This window comes from Homo sapiens, chromosome 13 (genome assembly GCF_000001405.40).
Source record: "Homo sapiens chromosome 13, GRCh38.p14 Primary Assembly".
Classification (NCBI taxonomy): domain Eukaryota; kingdom Metazoa; phylum Chordata; class Mammalia; order Primates; family Hominidae; genus Homo; species Homo sapiens.
This window is the reverse complement of record NC_000013.11, coordinates 25,459,180-25,479,937: the sequence shown is the minus strand read 5'-3', so window position 1 is coordinate 25,479,937 and position 20,758 is coordinate 25,459,180. Positions and strand designations below refer to the sequence as shown.

General features: G+C 43.2%; 1 protein-coding gene across 11 annotated transcripts in view, besides 1 other annotated feature; it reads right to left on the bottom strand.

Moving 5' to 3' along the window:
• ATP8A2 (ATPase phospholipid transporting 8A2) overlaps positions 1-20,758 on the bottom strand; it is a 653,878-nt gene that overhangs the window by 545,914 nt on the left and 87,206 nt on the right. For 7 of the 11 annotated variants that reach the window (NM_016529.6, NM_001411005.1, NM_001411006.1 and 4 more), the window contains exon 2: positions 10,817-10,961. In NM_016529.6, coding sequence (NP_057613.4) covers positions 10,817-10,961 — 145 coding nt within the window. Of the gene's footprint in view, positions 1-2,938; positions 3,067-10,816; positions 10,962-11,097; positions 11,165-11,370; positions 12,156-20,758 lie in introns of those variants that run through there. The other 4 variants (XM_005266419.2, NM_001313741.1, XM_047430383.1 and 1 more) reach the window with 3 other exon arrangements.
• Positions 884-1,759: an enhancer, noted in NCBI's record as "OCT4-NANOG-H3K27ac hESC enhancer chr13:26052317-26053192 (GRCh37/hg19 assembly coordinates)". NCBI's record gives its function as "activates a minimal SCP1, AML or CMV promoter by ChIP-STARR-seq in primed H9 embryonic stem cells {active_cell/tissue: H9 hESC(primed)}" and the evidence as "EXISTENCE:reporter gene assay evidence [ECO:0000049][PMID:30033119]".

Here is a 20,758-nt window from a genome sequence, read left to right as displayed (position 1 = left end):
GGGGAAAAGATTGAGAAATCGGATGGTTGCCGTGTCTGTGTGGAAAGAAGTAGACATGGGAGACTTTTCATTTTGTTCTGTACTAAGAAAAATTCTTCTGCCTTGGGATCCTGTTGATCTGTGACCTTACCCCCCAACCCTGTGCTCTCTGAAACATGTGCTGTGTCCACTCAGGGTTAAATGGATTAAGGGCAGTGCAAGATGTGCTTTGTTAAACAGATGCTTGAAGGCAGCATGCTCCTTAAGAGTCATCACCACTCCCTAATCTCAAGTACCCAGGGACACAAACACTGCGGAAGGCCTCAGGGTCCTCTGCCTAGGAAAACCAGAGACCTTTGTTCACTTGTTTATCTGCTGACCTTCCCTCCACTATTGTCCTATGACCCTGCCAAATCCCCCTCCGTGAGAAACACCCAAGAATGATCAATAAAAATAAAAATAAAAATAAAAGAATCATACAACAAAACCACAAATTGGAAATTATACTTATTAATAATGCAATTACAAGAAAATAAAAAGCAGCAGAATTGACACTTACATTCCTAGTAAAAGCTCTTTAAAACCATTTTACTAGGTTAAACATTAGGGTAATTTAATCAAATCTGACAAATCGGCCAAAAGCATTCAAAATAATAGAGAAGACTGTGAACAATATGTACTTACATCCATAATCCTTAACGGAGAATCTTGGTAAATATGTACTGGGTCTTCAGATAATAACTAACAATGATAGCACATGTATACCAATGTTTTAAATATACATATCAAAGGTTCATGCTAAAGAATTTTATGGGCTGGGTGTGGTGGCTCATGCCTGTAATCCCAGTACTTTGGGAGGCCGAGGAGGGCAGATCATGGGGTCAGGAGATCGATACCATCCTGGCCAAAATGGTGAAACCCCGTCTCTACTAAAATACAAAAAATTAGCCAGGCATGGTGGCACGTGCCTGTAGTCCCAGCTACTTGGGAGGCTGAGGCAGGGGAATCACTTGAACCCAGGAGGCGGAGGTTGCAGTGAGCCAAGATCACGCCACTGCCCTCCAGCCTGGTGACACAGCAAGACTCCAAAAAGAAAAAAAAAAGTGTTACAAATGGGACATCCAATGAAAAAGTTTTGGAGACCACTGATATAGACAGAGAACTTACATGAGAGTTAGGTCCACTCTCAAGCTGAAGTCTTTTCTAAGCTGAAACCTGCCAACACTCTCCAAAAGCCTTTCGTATGGTATATGTTATACGTAGACTGAAGATACATAGAATAATCCATCAGAGTGACTAACATCATCCCAAACTCAACCCCAAATCATTTTTAATGACATCTAATATAAAATAGTAAAGGCTAAAAACCTATGATTTCAGTTTTGAAGAGCTGGCTTTCATTTAAGAGAAAAGAATGGGTCAGCATTTGAATGACCAAACCCAACCTCATGGATTTCAGGAAATTTCTTTGTTAAACATCCCTACATCCCCACAATGGTCAGACCTCTCCTTTTGTTCTGTCTAAGCATTGTCCCTCTTGAAAGGGTTGCTGATTAGCATTTCTGAGTAAGCTTTTGCTGTCTGTTGAGTGACTCAGCTATAAGTAGTAGAACAAACACTTAGATGCAACTTTCTGGATAACGACACAGAAGCTCACATGACTAAACTGAGCAAAAACAGAGCAGTCTACTTTGTTACCTACTTTTTCAACTTAAGCAACTAGATCAGACATTATGCAAACAAACCCTTGGTGCTGTTTGTGAGCATAGGGAATGTTCTTTGATGCCCCGAGAGTAAGGGTTTTCCCATCTACTCATCACAACAAACATATGAAGATACTGATCCTTTTTTCTTCTGACCATCCTCCCTTCAAAATCATGTATGTTTCCAATTAAAGATCCAAACATTTACTAAAGTATTCAACAGAAAAACAAGAGTTTAGCATTTCATTCCTATTCTCTCAGATACTTCTAGTTGATTTTAAGATTTGTTTGAGAAAATAGTATACTTTTTTCTTTTTTGAGACAGAGTTTCACTCTCGTCACCCAGGCTGGAGTGCAATGGTGCGATCTCTGCTGACTGCAACCTCCACCTCCCGGGTTCAAGCGATTCTCCAGCCTCAGCCTCCTGAGTAGATGGGATTATAGGCACCCGCCACCGTGCCTGGCTAATTTTTGTGTTTTTAGTAGAGACGGGGTTTCACCATGTTCACCAGGCTGGCCTTGAACTCCTGACCTCAGGTGATCTGCCTGCCTCGGCCTCCCAAAGTGCTGGGATTACAGGTGTGAGCCACCACACCTGGCCGAAAACTGTATACTTATAGAAGAGTTGCAAAAATAATAGAGTTGACATCTATCCTTCGTCCAGTTTCCCCACAATGTTAGCATCTTACATCACCATAGCACAATTGTCAAAACTACGAAAGTAACACTGGCACAATGCTAATCCAATTACAGACTTTATTCAAGATTCACCAGTTTTTCCACCAATGTCTTTTCTGTTCCAGAATCCAATTCAGGGACCCACACAGTACTTACTTGTCACGTCTTGGGTCTCTTCCAATTCTGGTTGAGTTTTAATTTGTCTCACAAATCCTGATGCTTAATTCTTTTTAATCAAAAATCATAAATGCTTCCAAGTTCACAGCAGACAATAAGAGTTAACAGAATTTGGGAAGAGGAGAGAGGGGAAATAAATTACTGACCAAAATTCTCAAACCAAATGCTTTTACCTATTTTAAACAGTGGAAATGGCACAGATTTTTTTTGGTCAAATTCAAACTGGGCTCCATTATCCACCCACACAGGGGTCAACTTGATAAAGAAATCACCATGAAAGTCTGTCCTCTTAGACATTTGCTGTTTCCTTAGAAACACCAAATATAAAACTGGCCCAATGCTGACAGGCTTTTCTGTTTCTAAAAATACTCTTCAAGAAAGCTCACACATTCAATGGTTACCTGGAATGTACTATGCCAAAGCTCCCCCAGTTCCAATATTTTCGTCTGCAGGATTCCTCAAAAGACTTGTCCAGGGGTGTAAAGGTGATAACAGTTCTCATTACAAGACTCTTCTATGGCATTAATTGCTGCTGGTACATCGAAAATAAGAACTCAGGATTGTTGTGCCATTCACGTTCAGAAAGTACAGTGCCTGGCTTGGAAATTAACCAAGTATATCCACTTCTAAACAAAAAGCAGCATACCCAGAAGGAAAATCTTGAGACTGTTTTCAACATCAGCAATTACTCTTGATAAGGAATACTTTTACCTTTGCCAAACTTGATAAAGACAGCAGTCTCAAATCAGAGATTACATAACCTTGGTTTTTAAGATAATGATCTTTACATAAACCAAAAAAGTTATGATTCTGTCAGGCGTCATGGCTCATACCTGTAATCCCAGCACTTTGGGAGGCCAGGGCAGATGGATCACTTGAGGTCAGGAGTTCAAGACCAGCCTGGCCCATGTGGTGAAACCCCGTTCTCTACCAAAAATTCAAAAATTAGCTGGCCGTGGTGGCGGGTGCCTGTAATCGCAGCTACTCGAGAGTCTGAGGGGCAGGAGAATCGCTTGAACCCAGGAGGCAAAGGTTTGCAATGAGTGGAGTTCGCGCCACTGCACTCTAGCCTGGCCAATAGAGTGAGACTCCATCTCAAAAAAAAAAAAAAGTTATGATTCTAACTAGGATGCTGGTATTGCTTCTTTGCTAAATTGTAAGCAGCTTGTGCATTAAGACCAGATCCTACATAAATTCTGCAGCATTAAAACATTTAGAGGAGAATTCTTCATCCTCACAGTACTCAATGACATTGGATCTAGTACCACATATATAATCTCTCCCCACTATTCATGGACAAATTGGTTACTGAAGATTATTTTGTTCTTTTTACTCCTTAAGACAAAAATATTCTTTTAGAATTATGATCCCATCTAATTAAACTTAAGGGCTTCTGCACAGCAAAATAAACCATCAAACAGAGTGAACAGACAACCTGCAGAATGGGAGAAAATATATGCAAACTATGCATCTGACAAAGGTCTAATATCCAGCACCTATAAGGAACTGAAACAAATTTATAAGAACAAAATACTAACAACCACATTAAAAAGTGGACAAAAGATATGAACAGACACTTTTCTAAAGAAGACACACATGCCACCAACAAACATATGAAAAAAATGCTCACTATCACCGATCATTAGAGAAACGCAAATCAAAACCACAATGAGTACCATCTCACACCACCAGAATGGCTATTTAAAAAGCCAAAATATAACATACGCTGGTGAGGTTGCAGAGAAAAGGGAACACTTACACACTGTTGGTGAAAGTGTAAATTAGTTCAACTACTGTGAAAAGCAGTTTGGAAGTTTTTCAAAGAGCTAATAACCGAACTACCACTCAACTCAGCAATCCCATTACTGGGTATACACCAAGAGGAACATAAGTCCTACTACCATAAAGGCACGTGGACTCGAATGCTCACTGAAGCACTATTCACAATAGCAATGACATGGAATCAACCTAAATGTCCATCAACAACAGACTGGATAAAGAAAATGTACATATACACTATGGAACACTATGCAGCCATAAAAAAGAATGAGATCATGTCTTTTGCGGGAATGTGGAATGAGGGGGAGACCATTATCCTTAGCATACTAACACAGGAACAGAAAATCAAATACCGCATATTCTCACTTACAAGAGGGAGCTAAATGATGAGAACTCATGGACACAAAGAAGGAAACAACAGACACTGAGGCCTGCTTGAGGGTGGAGGGTGGGAGAAGGAGGAGGTGCAGAAAAAATAACTATTGAGGCCGGGCACAGTGGCCTATTACAGGTGTGAGCCACACCTGTAATCCCAGCACTTTGGGAGGCCAAGGCGGGTGGATCACCTGAGGTCAGGAGTTTGAGACCAGCCTGACAAACATGGTGAAACTCCATCTCTACTAAAAATACAAAAATTAGCCAGGCATGGTGGCACATGCCTGTAATCCTAGCTACTCAGGAGGCTGAGGCTCGAACCCAGGAGGAAGAGGTTGCAGTGAGCCGAGATTGCACCACTGCACTCCAGCCTGGGCGACAGAATGAGATTCTGTCTCAGATAATAATAATAATAATAACTATTGAGTACTAGGCTTAGTATCTGGGTGATGAAATAATCTGTACAACAAACCCCTATGACATGAGTTTACCTATATAACAAACCTGCACACATATCCCGAACCTAAAATATAAATTAAAACAAAACAACCAAAAAACAAGGTTAAAAAAAAAATTAGGATCTCAGCATTAATATTATAAACAATGATACTGTACCAACCTAGCATACAGTGCTCAATTCCTTTTTCTGTAAAGGTAATATTCTTTTTTTTTTTTTCTTTTTTTTGAGACAGAGTCTGGCTCTGTCGCCCAGGCTAGAGTGCAGTGGTGTGATCTCTGCTCACTGCAAGCTCTGCCTCCCAGGTTCACACCATTCTCCTGCCTCAACCTCCCGAGTAGCTGGGACTACAGGCGCCCACCACCACGCCCAGCTAATTTTTTTGTATTTTTAGTAGAGACGGGGTTTCACCATGTTAGCCAGGATGGTCTCAATCTCCTGACCTCGTGATCTGCCTACCTCGGCCTCCCAAAGTGCTGGGATTATAGGCGCGAGCCACTGCGCCTGGCCCTGTAAAGGTAATATTCTATTTAAAATTAACCTTGGCAAAGCCAACAAAAACTTACCAAAAATTTGTATGAAGTAATTTTCCTTTAAGGCAAACCAACCTGAAGAAATGCAGTAACTTGACAAAGCTCGAGTTACCACTGTAATGAAGTTTTTGCTAGCTAAAACGCCCACCTGAAATGAATGAGTCATTCAAAACTGAGTAACTATAAACATTCCTAACTAGCTTTGAAGACCTCATTTCAAATATTGAAGAAAACTGCCTTATGGCTTTGAAATTCACTATTTCAAATGGCATGCTGCTAATCACATAGAAAGATTACATATGTCTGATAGTGATGACATAAGTATTGCTCATTCCTTTGATCAGCACATTATTTCAAGATTTTTCTGGGGGAAAAAAACATTTTAACTTTAAACATTCTTGAAAATTTAGATATATAAAATTAAAAATTCACCACCAGTTTCCTCTAAATAGTGAGCTTTTGTAAGCATTTAATATTTAACTTAAAAGGATATGAGGCTATTTATACAAAATGTCCAGTACAGGGAAATCTACAGAAATATAAAGTAAATTTGTGGTTCCTTAGGGGTGGGGGGAGGAAGGGATGGGAGATGATAGCTAGAGTATAATATTTCTTTTGGAGGTGATGAAAATGTTCCAAAATTGACTGTGATGATAGTTGCACAATGAATATATTAAAAATCACTGAATTGTATACTTCAGATGGCTGAATTGTGCACTAAAACCTTTAAAACATTTGAAAGGAGATATGATTGTACACTCCAGGAAAAGGAGATCTTATTAGGTGGACACATACATAATCTTACATATGTATATAAACATTGAATCCCATTAATTACTATTCATTTCCAGAGGATGAAGAAAGTTATTGTTCTCATAGTTAAGGTCCTAGAAAATCAATCCCTAGTAGAAAAAGACTACTTCATAATTCTCCATCATTATGATAATCTGAATTCATTGGCTTCAATAATGAAAAACTTAATAAACCTACCACAGACTTCAGATCAAACACTGGTGGTATTTTCAGCGTCAAGAATGAGAACAAGGTTTGGTGAGACATCTATATACATAGCACAGTCCCTCCCAAAAATTCAAGGAATTGGCCAGAATTCAGAGTTCTCATGTAGTGCATACCCCTGGGGGTGCTGAGGCCACAATGGACCTCAGAGGGGACCTCACTCCTGCTTTCTAGGCATTTCCCTAGACCCACCATCTTTCTTCAGTCACATCAATTCCATTCCAGTAAACTTGATCCATAGAATTCCTGTCCTGAATGACAGCATGCCGCCCCTCGCTGCCCTCCCTTCCTCTGTATCAAACTCCCATTCCTAGTCAAATGCCAGCTTCCCAGAAAGGCAAGCGCAGAGCAACTGCTATGATCCAGAGGGTTTCAAACCAAAACTGGCTTAGGGTTGAGGAAAGTAGGGGAGAGAACTCTGTTCCAGAGAGGACAGGCCTGCCAAGGAGTACAACAAGGTAAGTTAGCCCTGAGTCAGCAGACAGGCCTGAGCCTCATCTATCCCATGTGGTCCCTTCTTTTCAAAAAGCTCAATTTAGGGGCAAAGGAACTGGGATAAACTCTCCATGCCCTGCCTCTAAGAAAACCATTAACCTTTTCTCCAGAAAAATTATATTAAAAAACAAATTATTTATCCTTTTATAAAAATATTCCTTTGAATAGCTTCATTAACTTTTAGCAAACATTCATGGCCAAGATAAAAGGCCTTATTTTTAAAAATCAATATTATCATAAAACTTGAGTTCAGTAACATTAAAGTGCTAAAATAATATGGCTCGACGTTTTCTCAAATCCTTAAACCATAATGCTAAGAAGCTTTATAATCAATTTTTTTTTTTTTTTTTTGAGACGGAGTCTTGCTCTGTCACCCAGGCTAGAGTGCAGTGGTGTGATTTGGGCTCATTGCAATCTCTGCCTCCTGGATTCAAGCGATTCTTGTGCCTCAGTCTCTCGAGTAGCTGGGACTACAGGCAAGCACCACCACGCCCGGCTAATTTTTGTATTTTTGGTAGAGATGGGGTTTTGCCATGTTGGCCAGGCTGGTCTCAAACTCCTGGCTTCAAGTGATCCACCCACCTTGGCCTCCCAAAGTGCTGGGATTACAGGTGTTAGCCACTGCATCTGGCCTACAACCAATTTTTTAATGAACTACAAGTCACTGATAACCATTAGTAATTCCTATTTAAACACAGAGTCAAGGCGAACCAAATACTCAAAGGCCATTTTAAAGAACATCAAGGACCACATTTTAATTTCTTAGACCCTATCCAGTGCATGCGGAAACTTACGCTCACAGTATAAGCCATGAACTCAGAAATTATATGAATTTTAATATATTTCAACTAATTCAATTATATACTTACATAAAGCTTTCAATACAATAGCTGGTAACTGACTACTTTATTCCTCACCAACCCACTGTACATCCCCAACTTACTCTGCCTCTCTCAAAACAGTACAGATGAAACTGCACAGCAGACAGCTACTCGGAATCCCTCTGACTAATAATACAATCAGTCTGGGTCAGCTTTCAATCTTGATTACAGAACAGGTAGTGAAGCTCCATTATCAGTGCTCTTAAAAATCTTTACCTTCCAGCTGGGCCTGGTGGCTAACACCTGTAATTCCAGCACTTTGGGAGGCTGAGGCAGGTGGATCCTCTGAGGTCAGTAGTTTGAGACCAGCCTGGCCAACATGGCGAAGCCCCGTCTCTACTAAAAATACAAAAATTAGCTGGGCAGGCGCCTGTAATCCCAGCTACCTGGGAGGCTGAAGCAGGAGAATCACTTGAACCCAGGAGGCGGAGGTTGCAGTGAGCCAAGATCATACCACTGCACTCCAGCCTGGGAGACAGAGCAAGACTCCATCTCCAAAAAAAAAAAAAACTTTACCTTCCATTAAAACAAAAGAATTTAGACAAAAACAAAGGCCTCTATTTTTTTTTTCTCCCAGCCTTAAGCATGCATAAATGGATAACAAAATTAAAGGAATTAATAGAAATTAAGCAAAAATACATCTTGAAAACACACTAAAGTTTAAAAAGAAAAGTAGCTCTTCAAATCCCATATCCTTATACAGTATATATCTTTTAGAAAATCATCTTTTTGAAAGCAATTCAATAGAAACACATGCGAGAAGGTGTAAAGAAATGGAACTACATGAGCAGTGCAGGATTCCAAATGGTTTAGGTAAATTCACAGAGTTGTGCAACCATCACCCCAAAATGAAACCCCATCCACATTCACAGTCATTCCCCATTTCCCCCCAACCTTTTCTCTCTTCCCCAGCCCCAGGAACCACTAATTTACCTCATAACTCTATAAATTTGCCTCTTCTGGATACTTCATATAAATGGAATCATGTACTATGAGGCCTTTTGTGACTGGCTTCTTCCACTTAGCATAATGCTTTCAAGTCTCATCCATGTTGTAGAATGTGTCAATATTTCATTCCTTTTTATGGCCCAATAATATTGCACTGTATGGATATACTTCATCTTATTTATTCATTCATCAGCTGATGGACATTTAGATTATTTCTACTTTGGGGCTATTCACAATAATGCTGCTGTGAAATATATGTGTATGAGTTTTTGTGTGGACGTAGGTTTTCATTTCTCTCGGGCAGATTACCCAGGAGTAGAACGGCTAGGTCATATGGTAACTTTACATTGAACCTTTTGAAGAACTACCAAACTGTTTTCCAAAGCAGCTCCATCATTTTTACTGTTTTCCAAAGCAGCTCCATCGTTTTTCATCCCCATCAGTAATGCATGAGGATACCAAGTTCTCTAAATCATTGCCAATACTTGTTATTTGTCTTTTTGATTGGAGCCACCCTAGTTTGTGAAGTGGTAACTCACTGCGACTGATGCTCTGTATCTTAAACGAAGCCCACACATTCTGAAATGGGGACTCAGCTATTCTTCTAAATTACACTTTTAAGTATAAAATATGCCCAACTGTCATTCTTAAAACCCAAAATAAAGCTGCATAATCTAACACTCCTTTAATAAGTGAAAATTCCACCTCCATATAATATGCACCATTATTCTACCCCAATAATGTCCAACTGCCTGACCTTTCTAAATAAAGATGTCAGGCTAAGTCATTTGTACAAGTGTTAGTGCAGTAGTGGAATACTTAAACATATAACAACAAAGTTTTTGTCTTCCAAAAAAGAACACTGGATTGGAACTCAGGTTTGTCAATAATCTATGTGTAACCTGATAAATCACTGAACTTCTCTACACCCAAGCATGGTGTTCTGAGCAGCTCACAGAACTACATCCTCTGAAGTCTCTCCCAGATACAAAGTTGTTTAAGCCTGAAAGTTTAATGAAATTTGAAAATGTACGAACACCCGTGATAAAGAACTAGCTTTGCACAGCAGAAAAAATTTTATCCTTAGTAGTCAGATGGGCTGGGTTCAATTTCCAGCCCTGCCATTTAGGAGCTGTATGACTATAGGTACATTATTTAGCATCTTTATATTCCAGTCTCCTGGCCTGCTTCAATAGGTTATGAAGATTCACTAAGCTGCTATAGCCAGGGTGTGTGACATAGCGGCCAGCAAAAGTAGACATTTAAACGCTAGCTTCTGTCCATCTTTCTGCTAACTCTGGGCAAAGTTTCGCAGCAAATGAAGACCTCTTAACAATTGTCGTGGACCACTGAGAACTGAATGTGATTCCTTGTGACTTGTGGGATTCCCTTATGAAGCACGTCCCCCATAGTATGGTCTAAAAATTGCTAAAGAAGGCTATCAACTGGCTTAAAACAAGGCTAGAAGGGGTTCCGAGAAGGAAGCCCAGGGATGAAAAGAGCAGAGACCTCGTTTTTGTCGGTGACATTAGAGTGAAAACTTCTCAGGGCTCAGAGGCAGGCTGGGCGCAGAACGGATGCGCAGGAGAGAACGGTGAGGGCTGCATTCGCATGACCCTACTGGAAGCGCGGGGCTGCACCGCGGGCTAGTGGGGTGGGGAGGGGGCAGGGGAAGGCTCTGGGGGAGATGGACGGGGGCCGGCCAGGTGCGCGGCCAAGCCCCGCGCAGGAGGACGAGCCCCTTCCCAGCTGTGACTCCACCGCCTTCCGCGCGAGCCGGCCGCCTTCTCCTACCTGATCTGGTTGTCGCGGAATTTGTTGAGATGCGGTTGGTTGAGGTAAATGGTGCGGGCGGGTGCCTCCAGCTGGTCTCCAACAGACGTGGCCCGGGACATCTCATCCTCTGCCTTCTTATAGCCCAAAGAAGAACGAACAGGTCCTGCAGAGACAGGGCGCAGGCAGAGAATACGACACAAAGAAGTCAACCGCCAGGCGGGAGGCTGCGAGCGCGGGCCGCGGGCGGGCGGCCACCGGCGGGGAAGGATGCTCGGGTGAGGCGGACGCCGCCTACGTACCTTGGCTCCCCCTGGAGACGCCGCCGCCTGTGCCGCGGCAGCCAAGGCCGGCCCCGCCCCCGGCCCCGCCCACGCCCACGCCCCGCGCGGCCCCTGGCGCTTGTGGAGCGAGCCCCGCCCCGGGAGAGCCGCCCCCAGCTCCTGCGCTCCCTCCCTGCAGGGACCGGGCCGGGCTGGACGCCCAAGCTGCTTGTCGGGCCGGGGTGGGCGACCGCGCGGGGACGGCGGGGGCGCCAAGGCCAGCGGCACCCCCAGCCATCTGGCCGAGCGTACCCTCTAGTCCCGGGAACTGAGCTCTGGAACTGGGTTTTCTGGGATCCTTTGATCTTCCTTAGGAACAGAGACAGCAGCAATGGGAATGCGCCCTGCAAGCAGCCACCGCAGAAGGAGATGGCGAAAGCACACCTCTGGACGCTAAAAATGGGCTTCGGAGACCCCAGGGTGAAGAGCTCGCTCCCACCATTGTCTGCAAGGGATCCGCTGCTCTTCTCCCTACATGCACCTGGAGACCTGAGTGCAGTAGCTGTCCCAACCCCAGCTCTGGACCAGCGCTCGAGCTTTCATTTTATTGCTTAAATTACTGTTTCTGTGGTTACGTGGCAAGCCAGCCTAGCTCAAGATTTGATTTCAGTCCTATGGGTCAAGCCTTTTTGGGTGGACCCAAACCCCTGCCCCCCAATAACCTTCACTTGAGACGTTCCAGCCTAGACCTAGAGAAGGATCCAGTTATTACTGAAACTGGTACCCGCACGTAGATCTTAACCTCATCTCCAACTCCAAGGCAGCATCCCTTCTTAGAAGGGGCTGCCCAGCTTGAGCAGTGACCTTCAGAGGAGAGGCGTCTGAGATAAAGGATCACAGAAAAATTAATACTCTACAGATGAAGACTTATCTTGTTTTTCTTAAATATACATTCGCCCTCTAATACCTGCCACGCTTTCCAACTATCAAAGAAACGGACGTTGCACACCATTAAAAAACTGACATCTTGGCCGGGCATGGTGGCTCAAGCCTGTAATCCCAGCACTTTGGGAGGCCGAAGCGGGCGGATCACGAGGTCAGGAGATCGAGACCATCCCGGCTAACACGGTGAAACCCCATCTCTACTAAAAATACAAAAAATTAGCCGGGCAAGGTGGAGGGCGCCTGTAGGCCCAGCTACGCGGGAGGCTGAGGCAGGAGAATGGCGTGAACCCCGGGGGGCGGAGCCTGCAGTGAGCTGAGATCGCGCCACTGCACTCCAGCCTGGGCGACAAGGAGACTCGTCTCAAAAAAAAAAAAAAACTGACATCTTACGCAAGTAAACCTTCACTTCCCTGTTACAAAGAATACTTTTCACTGTCATAGAGAAACACTTTTAAAGAGAAAGTTTTCGCTACATCATCTTTTTAAAGTGATTAGAAGGATGATAATCCTTATCCTAAGAAAGGGACAAGCGAAATGTAAACTCGTTTACTGAAAGCTGACATATTATTCCGAATATTAAGTAAGAGTTAAGTCTGAAGTGGGCTAAGGCTTCTCCCTTCACCTAGATGGGGACGCCTAGTGGGTGCAGGCTCCGGGGCTCAAGCCAGGTCCCTGGTCACAGGCCAGGCACACTCCAGTTTTCCTCTTGCTTTTTGCGTGTGCCCACAGCACCCTGGCTATTCCTCACTCAGACAGGATCCCTCATCTCCTTCCCTCCAACCTCCCACTCTCTGGGGTCTTTCTGGCTCCCCATGGGACACTGCTTGGTCGTCTACTCATCAACAAGCGGCAGCAGAGAGCAAGAATCCCTTCTTCCAGACTGTCTGGCCCACCAGCTGGGGCTCCCGGACTTCAATCAGGGAAGGCCAGGTGTTGGAGCATTTGCTGATGTAAGACAGATGGAGAATATTTTTGAAGCTAGCCTATATGGAAGTACTGCTTTTCTCTCTGCCCACTAACCCTGCCTTGTCTTCCTCCACAGTACCAGATATCATCATTACCTGATTTTATTTATGGATGCTCTGTCTCACTGCACCCAGAAGCCCAAGCTCCAGGACAGTAGGGACAGGCTGGGTTCACTGAACAGTGCGTGGTCAAAGTGGTTCATTGCTCACCTAGCGGCTCTCAGTTCCCCTGTGCATTAGTATTACCAATGCAGCTTCCACAATGTATTAGTTCCCGGGCCCTGCCCTCTCAGATTCTGTGGTCACTGTGTTTTGCTTCTAAAGATCACTAAGTGATGCTGATGAGCACCCAGTCAGGATCACTTGTTAGATGCCGCTGAGAACACAAAAACAGAAGATCAGGTTCCTGCCCTTGAAAATGTTCCCTCAATTAAGGCATAAAGGTGTAACCATGGTTACTTACCAGTGTGTGACTAAGAGTGGGCCCAAAGGTGCTAAGGAGGCTCAGAGGTCAGCAGCCTCTTTGTGCTGGGAGGGCAGGTGGTGGAATAGATTCTGAGTACAGACAGAAGAGCCTGGCAATGTGGGTGAGGTGTGGATTAGGAAAGGGAAGGGCATTGTAGGAAAGGGAAGGGCATTGTGGGCAAGGGCAAGAAGAGCTTAAGCAAAGGCCCAAGCAGACAAAATTGTATCAGGGCCAACTAAAAAAAACAAATCAACCCTGAGGGTCCAAACTGGGAAAAAGTAGAAAAAAAGTTCACCAAAAAAAATAGCCTGTGGCCAGACTGTGGATGACTCAATGCCAAGCAAAGAAGCTTGAACTTCATCCTGAAGGTCACAGGAGGCCACAGGAAGTTTCTGAGCAGGAGAGAAGAGCATCTGGCAGTGATGGCAAAGGGGGAAGAGCAGAAGAGGAGAATTTTTAGATAAGCGAACCAGGTAGGAAATTAATTCTACAATCTAGAAGCAAGATGATAAAAGCATGAATTAAATGGAGGTTGGGATAAAAGGATGGACATAAGAAACATCTGAAAAGAAAACCCTCAGCTGGGCATGGTGGCTCATGCCTGTAATCCCAACACTTTGGGAGGCCAAGTTGGGAAGGATGCCTTGAGCCCAGGAGTTCGAGTCCAGCCTAGGCAACATAGCAAGACCTCATCTCTACCAAAAAAGAAAGAAAGAAAGAGAGAAAGAGAGAAAGAGAGAAAGAGAGAGAGAGAGGGAGGGAGGGAAAGAAAGAAAGAAAGAAAGAAAGAAAGAAAGAAAGAAAGAAAGAAAGAAAGAAAGAAAGAAAGAAAGAAAGAAAACTCTGCAAGATTTCTGGGGAGGTGAGGTTTAAATGTGTGCACCAGGAAAGGAAGAAACACAAGACCACTGAGGTTTGAAGAAGACTGGGACAAAAAAAAAAAAATCACTGATAAATAACAGGAACAATAACTTTTCCAAACAAGAATTTAGATGTTGGATAACAAATATTGGAGTGAAAAAAATTATTGACACGAGTAAATAGTGATGACAGAATGAAGTGGAATAATATCTCCCACTTATCTACCTAGCATGCTTCAGGTCAACACAGCTTTCTATACCACAACAGGGAAAACCTTGGGATTTTTTCCTAGGTAGAAATAGTTATACCACCCCGCACCTGTCCCCAAGATTCAGATAAATTCTTTCTACCTCAGTGGCCTCATCTCAACCTAACCCTGTATTAGAAAAAAAAATTTTCAAAAAAAATTTGTGGAAAACATATTGCCTAAGGAAACATTACACCATCTACAGCAAAGCACATTATGACTAAGGTTTCATGAGATAATTCTGAGTTAATGCATTTTGCAAATACTACCACATAAAATGAGTATATGCTTACACCTCCACCATTTAAACAGGTGCTGTGTCAGCAGAGAGTGGGAGTTCAATAAATATCTATTAGCTGAGAAAGAAACCAAAGGGAAGGGAAAGAACTGAGAGAACAAGAGTAAGCAAAGAGAAAAGCACTAAATTTGCCCCCACCCTGCAAAGTGGAAATGCAGACAAGAGAGTGGAAGGTCAAGGCCGTGAGGGCAGAGACTTTGTCTCATTCATAGCTCTATCCCTGGATAGAGTGCCCTGGATCATGCCTAGCACCCAGTAGACAGTCTGAAAGAATATGTCAAATGAATACATAAGAGGCTAATGTAGTAGGTGCCTTTTAGGTACCTGCCCAGCCGCTGAACCAGCTGCTCCCTTCTCTGTCTCCCTTGAACCAGACCTCTTTCCTCATACAAGCCAGGGAGCCCATCAGCTAGGTCATACCGTGCAATACCATCTACTTGTTACAGCTCTTTGGACCAGGGATGGTTACTTGGTCCAAATTGGGCCACCAAGGGTCTCTCTTCTGGGAACTTTGACATGGGAACTGGTAGGGACCATTTCTGCATATGGCTGACCTATTAACATATACACACCAGGTCTCTAGATGGCCGTCTTCTACCCTCTGAGTGGACCAGGAGACAGAGAAAGGAATTTTTTTTTTTTTTTTTTTTTAGATAGAGATGAGGCAGCAGTTTTTTGGGTCCTAGGTCCAGTCCTCTCCGAGATCCCAGCTGCATTAGGGGGTTTGGGTTCCATGAGCCACCACTTGATCATTCTATAAACTTCTCATAACCACGTATCTTAACTAGTGTGGTAAAGCAGTATGCAGAGAACCTGTTTTTCCCTATAAGATGGAAAAGCAAAAAGGGTTAAAGAGGAGGGACAAATTCCTATTCACCTGTAGATCACCACCAGGTGCCCAGGATTTTAGATAATCTAGCACAGATGCTGTTAAATGCTACAAGCCAGACCCAGGAGGCTGAATCTGGCAGAGGAAAGTCTTCACAGCAATATCTGGGCCAGTAGGTTTTGATGAAGCCCCAAAGTGGGTGGGAAGTGCAAGACTAATGAGATAAGCACCCCTGTCCTCCTCCTCCTGCCTTCAGAGTTTCTGCCCGGGGTTGGAGAAAGAACAGAATGTTAGGAAATCAAGAGAGATGGTAGAGAATGCCCACCAGAGACCAGCAATAAGAGGACAGGTGAAGAACAGGGAAGGGCAGAGGAGAGCAGATCAGTTACAGTAGATACACCAGTGACCCACAGAAGCATGAGGGGGTGGAAGGGGAGGGACACTCAGTCAGCAGCTCACCTTCCACCAGCTCTAGCTCTCTGGTTGATGTCTCCTCCATGCACTTTGTTCACTTCATTGTACAAAACATATATTTTCATATTTTCAACCCTCTAACCACATGATTGGTCATGTTTTTCATTTTACTGAATGACTCAAATTCCTCATCGTTTCACTCACTTGGAATGTGTGCGTGGCAATAAGAATGTGGAAGTCACTGGCGAGGAAGCAAGGACAATGATGGACCTTACATTGTCAGGGGAGCAGGTAAAAGTGAGGACAACACCTAATTTCTATCCATTGCATAAACAAATTCCATGGAGATGGTTTTGAGGAAGAAAATGAAAAATGCTGACAGGTTTTTGAAATTTGTTCCAATACATTAAATATTATAATAATATGTATGTATATATTAGTTTATTTATGATAACTTTTATGTAACATACATAAAAGCATAAACTAAATAGGTCAGGGAGTTAAGAACTTCAAATAAGGGATTAAACATGAAAGAAGAGTTAGCATAAGGGCAAATTATTACTGTTTCATTGCCTTAAGTAACACAGAAACAAAATCCTTCACTCCAAACTGCAGTATTTTCACCCTAACTTAATTCAAAATGTTTAAAACTCCAAAAGGTGCTTGAGACATGTCTAGGTTATTTCCCTGGCAAAAAAGTTTCATTATCTCAAAAAAAAAAAAAAAAACACTTCAGAAAGAAATACCTTCATCTTCCTTCCTACACCAGCCACACAGGCCACCCTCATCATCCTCCCAACGCCAGTCACACAGGCCACCCTCGTCTTCCTCCCAACGCCAGTCACACAGGCCGTCCCACGTCAGTCAGTCTGTAACTGTGCTCCTTACGCACAGAATGAAAAGTCAAGGTGGAGTCAGACCCGGCTTGGACACTGTTGTGCAATAATATGTCTGGTCTTTGTCTTCAGTTCCTGTAAGGGAGCCTCTAAATCCCTGGAATTTCGCAGTGATAGGAGTATCTTTGCTATTCATGGTGGGCCCCTCTGTGCACACCTGAGTTCCTGCTAAGATGATGACTCATGGTGGGTTGCTAGATGGTTTAAGAATGGGGTCCAGCCATCCCAGAAAGGCCAATCATGTGGTTAGAGGGTTGGGGGTTTCAGCAGGGTGATTAAGCCTGACCTTCTAACCTCTGGGAAGGGGAAAGGGGGATGGAGGTTGAATTCATGTGACCAATGATCCAATTAATAATCCCACATAATGAAACCCCAATAAAAACTTGTGGACACTGAAACTCAGGGGAGCCTCCCAGGTTGGTGATTCACATCAGTATGCCAGGAAGTGACACATCTTGAAGCACAGAAGCTTCATGTTCAGGACCCTCCCGGATCTCAACCTCTGCATCTCCAATTGGCTGGTCCTGACTGGTACCCTTTGTAGTAAAACTGTAACCATAAGTGTAGCATTTTTTCTGAGTTCTTTGAGGAGTAGTAGGAAACCCTGAATGTGTAGCCAGTTGGTCAGATGTGCAGGTGGTCTGGGAAGCCCACAGCCTGCAGCTGGTCGTTGAAGCATGGACAATCATCTAGAGGACTGTGCCCTTAACCTGTAAAGTCTGACCTCACTCCAGGTAGTTGGTGTTAGAACTGCATTGCACACATTTCTCTGTGAACTCTAGAACGATAGAGCCAAAAGGGAAACCTTACTATCAGTCACAAAACCATATTAGCTCAAATGGAAGATATGATTAGAAGCCAGATCTGCAGAAACTTGAATCTGATTCTCCTTTAATAGAACAGGTTGCTTCTTGTGAGCTTAGGTAAGCAGGCTACCATCTGAGCCTTGGTTTCCTTATCTGCAAAATAGAAATCGATTACATAAATCAAGGGTTGGCAAATTTTTCTGTAAAGTGTCAGTTGGTGAATATTTTAGGCTTTGTGGCCACATATGGTCTCTATCTCATAGTCTCCTTCTTCCTCCTCCTCCTCCTCCTCCTCCTCCTTCTTCTTCTCCTTCTTCTTCTTCCTCACACATCTTTAAAAACGTAAAAACCAGTCTTACTTTACAGGCCATGGTTTGCTGAGCCCTTATATAAATTAAGTTCTTTTGCAATTCACAACCTGATTATATCCCAACTCCCATCTCAAGGAAATAATCACTTAAATTTCTATTAGCTGAAATTTCCTGGTAAACATAGGTATTCAAACTGTTATTACATGAGTTAAGAAGTTGGTTATGTCTTTTTTCTAATGTTTTAGGTACTTGAAAAGTATGTAAGTGTAGTTTTCTCTTTGCCCCCAGAAAAATCTCTAGGAAAACAGTGCAGTCATTACAAAGCCTTCGTAACATGAGGCACGTGTGCATGCATATACACATACATTCCGCTCCTCAAAAGAGTTTCAAGTTCAACTATGGCCTCTACCCCATATTTACAAAGATGTTTTATAATCCCTCAGAACACAGGCACATCAAAAGCAGTTCAGCCACTGGGGAAGCACTGGGCTGATTATTTCTCCTAATCAAACAGACACAATGAAAATGCTGTGCAAATACAAAATGTGATTATTTTAGCCTTGGCAGACACATTTCGAAGGCCTTTTCAAGACCCTCCTTTGCACAAACTGCATCTCTCCAAATCTAGCATCTGCAATCCACTTCTACCCAAGAATTCAAAAGAAATAAACACAAAGGGAAAGCGACACTGATGGGTCAGGATTTCTTATTACTGCAAATACTTGTTGGTTTCTTTCTTTGTTTCAGATCAGAGAAGATGAAAAGAGAAGTAACAGGCCATGGATTCTTTATGATTTAAAATATTGTTGGGTGTGGAATGCATTCAGTTATTGAGCACCTCCTGGATAGAAGGCATTTTGTGAAGTAGTGGGTAGGGAGAGGGGCATAAGCTTCCATTTTTACAGCAACAGAGAGCAAGAAATGTGGAAATTCAAAGCACAAAGATGGCTGCCAGTCTCAATGGGGGCCAAAGAAACAGGGCAATTTCATTCAGGAAGCCATTTGAAATAGGCTTATAAGAATGATTATGATTTGGCTGTGCAGAGAAAAAGCAGAGCATTGCAGGTGTAATTGCATGTGAGCAGGGACACGTGCTGGTGATACTTTATTTACAACCTAGTTGGCTCCGGCACAGTGGGTGAAAGTTGAGCCACTGTAATTTGAAGTCTTGTTTCCAATAAGTACAGCAATATACACTGGGCTTCTGTTCCTCAAAACCCATTTTATACCTTAGATGTATTAAATTTATCCTGTAAATTAAATGAAGACAAATGTGCTTTTAAGGAAATGTATTTCATATCTAAAACCAAAAACAACAACAAAAAAGAAAAGCTATGTTTCAAACACTCAACTCAGAGTAATTTTTCATATGGGTTGGATTGGTTGAGTTTTAAAAATACAAGTCCAGTTACTTCTCCTTAGCAACTTCCTCTGTTGCTAGGATAGACATTCTCCATTGCTCGTAGGACCCCAACACTGGCCCAAGTTAGGGACACCAGCTTTAAAATCTCATTGCTGATTCGATATGCATGAACACCATCTTTGAACAGCTAACCTAGGAGAGGGGCGGTTTCCTTTGAAGCTGTGGTTTGCCTGTCCTGAGCATATTTTGTTTGCTTCTTTGTTTGTTTTTGTTTGTTTGAGACGGAGTCTCACCCTGTTGCCCAGGCTGGAGTGCAATGGCGCAATCTCGGCTCACTGCAACCTCTGCCTCCCAGATTCAAGCAGTTCTCCCACCTCAGCCTCCCAAGTAGCTGGGATTATAGGCACCCACCATCATGCCCGGCTAATTTTTGTATTTTTGTAGAGATGGAGTTTCACCATATTGGCCAGACTAGTATTGAACTCCTGACCTCAGGTGATCCGCCCACCTCGGCCTCCCAAAGTGCTGGGATTACAGGCGTGAGCCACTGCATCCAACCTTGTCCTAAGCATTTTGAAGACCCACACAGCTTGGCCAAAGGCTCATGGCTTCACTGCAACCAACCCCATAGCCAGCCTACCTCCCCAGTGACATCAGTGACCCCTCTCCTGCTGCTCCTGAACCCCACCCATGATGACCTTCTTTCCTCAAGACATCAGCTCTGTTCCTTCTCCAGAGACCTGGTACTTGCTTTTTCTTCACCTAGAATGTCATTCCCTAGTCTTTGCTAACTAACTTCTTCCTGTCACTCAGGCATCAGCTTAAATGTCACTTCCCCACAGAAGCACTTTGTGACCACGCCCTAGCTACAGCATTCCCCTTCTCACTTATTCCCTAACACCACACATTATTTCTTGCATGGACATACCACTCCATAAAATGTGTGTGTTCATTTTCTGTCTTCCAACATTCTCTAGGAGCTCCAGGAGGGCAGGGCCCATGCTCATCTTCATCACCTCTGCATCCCCAGGAAATAGGATGCAGAAGGCATTCAGTAAACATGTTTGACGAGTGAATCAAGCGAACACAAAATTTCGCATTCTGTCTTAAGTGGACAGAGAAAAATGCAATTCTTTAAATTTAGTCTGCAACTAATCTGACCCACCTCCTAAGGCATCATCCTGTATAGAAAGCTGGGAAAAAATGGAAATGTCCAGTTTTGTTGGTAGCTCAGTCCAATGTGAAAAGTTTAAGTAAGTGGTATTCAGTCTTCCTTGAATAAGGATGCTTTAGCTCCCA